Raw genomic sequence first — 5,791 nt, 5'->3', positions numbered from 1 at the left:
AATCTTTAGATGATTTTTAGTGCTATTTACTAGCATTGTGATTCCACTAAGCTTCAGTTTCTTCAGTTGGAAATGGTAATGATACCTCTTGCATTCCATCCTTCTATGTGCAATGAGAACAATTGTTCTTCTCCAGGCACATTGAATCTTGCCAATATCCCATGACACCTTAAACATTACTGATTGTAGCTGAACACAGTGGCACACACTTGTACTCCCAGCTGCTAGGAATGGGAGACTGAGGTAGGAGGATGGCTTGAGCCTGGGAGGCAGAGGTGTAGTGAGTCAAGATCATGCCACTGCACTCCTGTCTGGGTGACAGAGCGAGAACCTGACTCAAAAAAAAAAAAAAAAAAAAGACTGATTGTGTTTTCCAAATCTGCATTTTGAGAAACTGCTTTCTGGGAATAAGGGAGTTATTCTTAAGCTTGGCTATTCATTAAAATCACCTTGAAAAAATATGAAGTCTGGCCCCAACCCCAGAGAATCTGATATATGTTGATGGTATGTTCTAGGTATTAGAATTGTTAAAAGTTCCTCAGGTGATTCTAAAGAACAATCAGAGGTGACTATTCTGAGGATGGGATTTGTTTAAAGCAGATAATTGTTCTTTGATTCATCACCTCTTTCTTGGGCTGAAATTTTCTATTAACTTTAAGTTAGTATAGTCATTTGCATGCAGCAGTAAGCCCTCAAGCCACATTCAGAGAAAAGGGTTTATTCAAAAGTTTTAAATGGTAATATAAAAAGAATTTTGTGGAAATTCAAGAAGAGGTAAAATAATATCACTGGTCGTCATAAATACAAGATCTGAAGTTTCCTTTTGTAGGTAGAGTCACTAAATCAATACAGCTATACTCTAGTTCATGGGTTCCTAAAATTTAGCATGAGTCAGAATCATCTTGGGGTCCTGTCAGACAGTTTTCTAAGCCCAAACCTCAGGATTTGTGATTCAGTAGACTCAGGGTTGAGCCCAAGACTTTTCATTTTCAATAATTTCCCAGTTGATGCTGATACTTCTCATTAGAGATCACACTTTGAGGACACTGTTCTAGTTGTTTACTCCTTTTGGACACCTATGAATTTGCTTCATCTGCTATTTACTAATTTTGCTCTCTCATCCCCTCTACTTACCTAATGCAATGGTTCTGAAACCTTCTTTCTTTAAGCATTCCAGATGATCCTGCTGCAGGATGGAGTTTTAGAACCACTGTTCTTGTGTTTGGCTTGCTGTAACATCCTACTTCACTGTTCTGTCTTAGATTTTCCCTCACTGATCACTGGTGGTGATTGAAATTCCTGAAAAGCAGCAGCTCATTGGCTCAATTCAACTTTTCACATCAGATCGTTGGGCATCCGGTCATGGGTCAGTTTTGCTTTGGCCAGATAATCAATCAGCCATGAACAGGTTCTCAAAGGGTGGCCCTGGCGCCAGCAGCAATAGCATCACCCAGGAACTTGATAAAAATGCAAATCATTGGACTGTACCCAAGACTTGACTCAGAAACTCAGGGGTGGAGCCCATCAATCCATCTACATTTTAACAAACCCTGTAGGTGAGATTGCTGTGCACTAAAGTTGACAATCCCTACTGCAAAAGAAGAATGTCACTTATGCTCAGCGACCTCATATAGTACTTTATCTCACCTCAAATAGCATAGGCCCAGCTGGTGGCAAGAGTCATCAAAATATTTTTAAAAATGTAAAATCTTGCCACTAATTTGCACTTCTTCAAACTCCAACTTTTATAAGCTCTAAGATATCCATTTCTAAAAGAGATTTTTTAAAAATTAGATCTGTCTTTGATATCATAGGCCTTATATTACCACATTTCTACACTGTCTATGGTTTCAACCACAGACAACCTGGTTTCAGTTTACAATTGTGGAATCCACAAGGACCATATTGGCAATAAAATACCCCACAACTTCCATGGCAGTGCACATCTGGTATGTAATTTTACATAAACAAACTCTACTTTGATGAAACTTAAACCTATGAAATTTAAACAAAATGGTGTTAGGGCTGAATCCCAAAAGAAAAAGAAAGGAATTTGGGTTTCTGTTTTTCCTTTTTGAAACCCAGGTGCACATTAAAGTTAGTGCCGGGACACACACTTGTGTAATTTGGCTCAAGTGCAGATTTTCCTGTCTAATGACATTAGACTGGCTACATCAAAATAACCACAGATCTCAAATAGAGCTGGGTAAACCCCATCCTTCCAACAGGGGAAAGAGGAAGGAACTTGCTTAGGTAGCCAGTAATGTGCTAAGTCGCACCATAACCTTCAACTTGATATCTAATAAAACATTGAAGGAAAGCACTGTTTTCTGCTTTGGACTGAATTACTAACTGAGCCACTCAATTCCGGAATCTGTTTTAGGCAGACTCCTATATCAGATGCTGTAGGGAACCAGAAGCCAAATTATTATTCTTCATCTTATCTTTATAAAATAATAGAAAATAAAAAATGGACATGACCATCCTTTCCTCCTTTAGTGTGTGATCTTCAATGATGTAATTAGATTACTAGGTTCTTTAAGATGTATTTTTTCTTGAAGCTGTTAGCCTCAAACATAAAATTTTCGAAAATCAGTAAAACATAAATATGATATTTATGTTCTTTGAGATTTATGTTTTTGTGACTGAAATCACAAACTAGTACATTTAGTCAACTAGAAGGAAGGTAACTAAAATCAGTAATCATTGTGCTTACACCTTTCCTCAATATGCCAGCTCAAACTCTGAAATTGGTAAAATCCCAGAACCCCCTTCTTCTCTAGTCTGCCATTGAACGTGGGATTCTCCAGGGTTTATGGTGATGCACTCCTCTCTGGATCCACGTTTTCTACTTCCTGAGTGATTTCACCTGTATGCTCATCTCTAACGTCCTGACTTCAAGGCTCTCTGCCCAATCCTGCATCACTTTTTTATCTGGATTTACCATAGACACCAGGCCTAGTATGTCTGAAATGGAACTCAATGTCTTTTTCTCTCTTCTCAGCACAAACCTGATACATATTCTGTGTTCTCAATGTGTATCTTAAGCAATAAATCCAACAATTATTCCTGTCTTCTTCTTCTCACTTATTTTCCATATTTCTAAAATCGGTGGTCACCTTTTCTTGATTCTACTTCAGAATTACCTTTCCAATCTGCCCTTCATATTCATTGTCTGTCATCTTACATCAAAACCATTTTCATGTCTTCATAGTTTTTCTGCTATGTACATTCCTATATTCCAACCCATTTTTCACTTGCACAGTTTCTTCATTAAGTTGTAAATATGTCCAGATTATCCCTCTTTTGAAGTTTTCCTTTGGAGTCATTATAATTTACAGAGTAGAACCTAGTAGCATTCTATGAAGCCCTTCAAAATATAGTACATACTTACCTCTTTACTTTCATCTCTAGATATTTAACTTATGCTGCAACCACTCGCACTACTTCCCTTTTCAGAATGTATCATGCCTCACCATGCTTCATCATGACTCATCATGTCTTTGTCATAGGTCATTATGCTTCATCATGCCTCACCATGCCTCATTATACTTCATCATTACTCATCATGTCTTTGTCATACCTCATCATGCCTTTGTTGTGCCTCATGCTTCATCATGCCGCACCATGACTCATCATGCCTCATCATGCCATCATGCCTCTGTATGCTGCTGACCGTACTGCTCCCTTTGGCTGCAAGGACCCTACCTTCTTTCTCTGTTGCATTACCCTTTTTATTCTTTCACTTTTAAATTGAGCTGTTAGCTCATTTAAAGGAACTCTCTTGAGTAACCTAGGGTAGGACTCATTTTTACTTATTCTAGCACTTTGCACACTATATTGTGAGGTTCCATGCCCTAGGATATTCTAGTGCTCATCTACTTTGGATTTCCCTTTCCTCTCAGGGGACATGGGAGGACTACACTGCTCTACCCCCTTGCAGTTATTTGGAACCGTATTACCAGATTTAGCCAAGGCGTGGTGAGCAGAAGTGAAAGGGGTCACTTCCAGAACATAAACACATTTAATTGCTCTTTTCCTCTGCTTCAGTGACAAAGGAGGCCTGGTATTACACATGGGGCAGCTATAACATAGTGTTTCTTCTGTTAATCTGAGCTCCTGTGTGACTCTATGGAACACAGCTTTTCTGCCAAACACAGGATGAGCAGGTAGCATGAGTGAATTAAATTTTTGTACTATGTTTTAGTTGTTATTGCTATGTAACAAAAGGCAGCCCAAGAGCTGAGATCATACCACTGCACTCCAGCCTGGGTGTCAGAGCAAGACTCTGTCTCCAAAATAAATAAATAAATAAAAGGCCACCCAAGATGTAGTAGCTTAAAAGAATAGCAATTGACAACTTCTCATGATTCAGCAGGTTTGCTAAGAAGTTCTACTAGTCTCACCTAGGCTCACTCTGGCTTCCGTTCTCTTCCATGGGCTCATTCCCTCTCCATATGGCCTCACTCCTTCAATTGGTCTCAGTCCATATGGTCTCCTTCCCTCATGTGTTCTCATGCTTCAGGGACTTTCTACAGAACTTTCTTAAAGCATGGTGGCTGTGTTCCAGGTCTCTGCAAAAGCAGAGACTGCCAGGTCTCTTAAGAATTAGGTCTAGAACCCGCATATGCTGTTGGCCAAAGCAGTCACAAGGACAGAGCAGATTCAAAGGGAGTTTTCATCCCTCCTGAGAAGTTTAACACAGGCACACAGGGAGAGGAGGCTTTGCTGCTGGCCATCTGTGGAGGCTACCTACCACATTGGGTTAAGTCCCTGAGAGTTGGAGGTTAATTGTCACTGCAGCAGACCCTAGGCTATCCTGGTTAAAACATTCTCTTTGTCTTAGGAACTAATTTGTAGGTCCTCCATGGTGAGGACAATCATAGAGCCCTATTTCTTGAAGTTATATCCACAGTTCCCAATATAAGGGTTGGATCATGATCAGCAATTCACTAAAAGCTTATTGAATAAATGAATGAAGGTTTTACTTAGACCAACAAGGAAAATAACAGCTTGAGGACAATAAATGACAGTGTAGAGGTCAAAACATAATGGCTGAGTAATGCAGTATAATGACAATATTATACATTATGTCTATTTACCAGTATGTTGCTATACACAAAATAGATTCATATACTAATCTTTTATTCCTTCAGACTTTCCATGAGATATGAAAAATTGGATATTATTAAAATAATTTTACAAATCAAATACTCAAGTCACAGAAAGGCAGAGAAAATATTCAAGATCAAATAAAAGGAGAGTTGCAAATATTAGTCCTGTGACTTAGAATGCAGTCTTCTATTCATACATGACTACATTATTACATTGGAAATTGGGAAATTGTTGAAAGTGAAAATAAAAGAAATCAGATGAATATGTAGGGACAGTGAAGGTCAAGGCAAAGATTTAAAGGAGGATAAACATATTCAGAGGAAGACAGCTTTATGCTGTCAAGAAAAATGTGGGTAGGTAATAGATACAATGGATAATTTAATTAGTTGAAATGGATAAGTGTGTTTAGGAAGAGTGTACAAAAATGAAAACACTCAGAAGATATGCATCAGTCTATGTACAAAAGGCAAGTGACATAGATAATGAATCTTCTCTGCTAAATTAAGCATTTACAAAAGAGCAGTGTATATGTCTTCAAAGAACTAATCCATGAAAAATAAAACATAAAAATCTGTTTGGTCAGAAAGCTTTTTTTTCAAGCTCCATTTAGAGCTATCTTCTCCTTCCTGAAAGATACTTCTGTTTTAAAGGTATTTTTTCTGTCTTCTTCCTCTCT

General features: G+C 38.3%; 1 annotated feature.

Annotated features, from left to right (window-relative positions):
• Positions 3,020–4,219: an enhancer, noted in NCBI's record as "CDK7 strongly-dependent group 2 enhancer chr2:104051012-104052211 (GRCh37/hg19 assembly coordinates)". NCBI's record gives its function as "activates an origin of replication core promoter dependent on BRD2, BRD4, P300/CBP, MED14 and CDK7 cofactors, with strong dependence on CDK7, by STARR-seq in HCT116 cells {active_cell/tissue: HCT116}" and the evidence as "EXISTENCE:reporter gene assay evidence [ECO:0000049][PMID:35650434]".

This window comes from Homo sapiens, chromosome 2 (assembly GCF_000001405.40).
Source record: "Homo sapiens chromosome 2, GRCh38.p14 Primary Assembly".
In the NCBI taxonomy this organism is placed as follows: Eukaryota; Metazoa; Chordata; class Mammalia; order Primates; family Hominidae; genus Homo; species Homo sapiens.
This window is presented reverse-complemented; position numbering and strand designations above follow the sequence as displayed.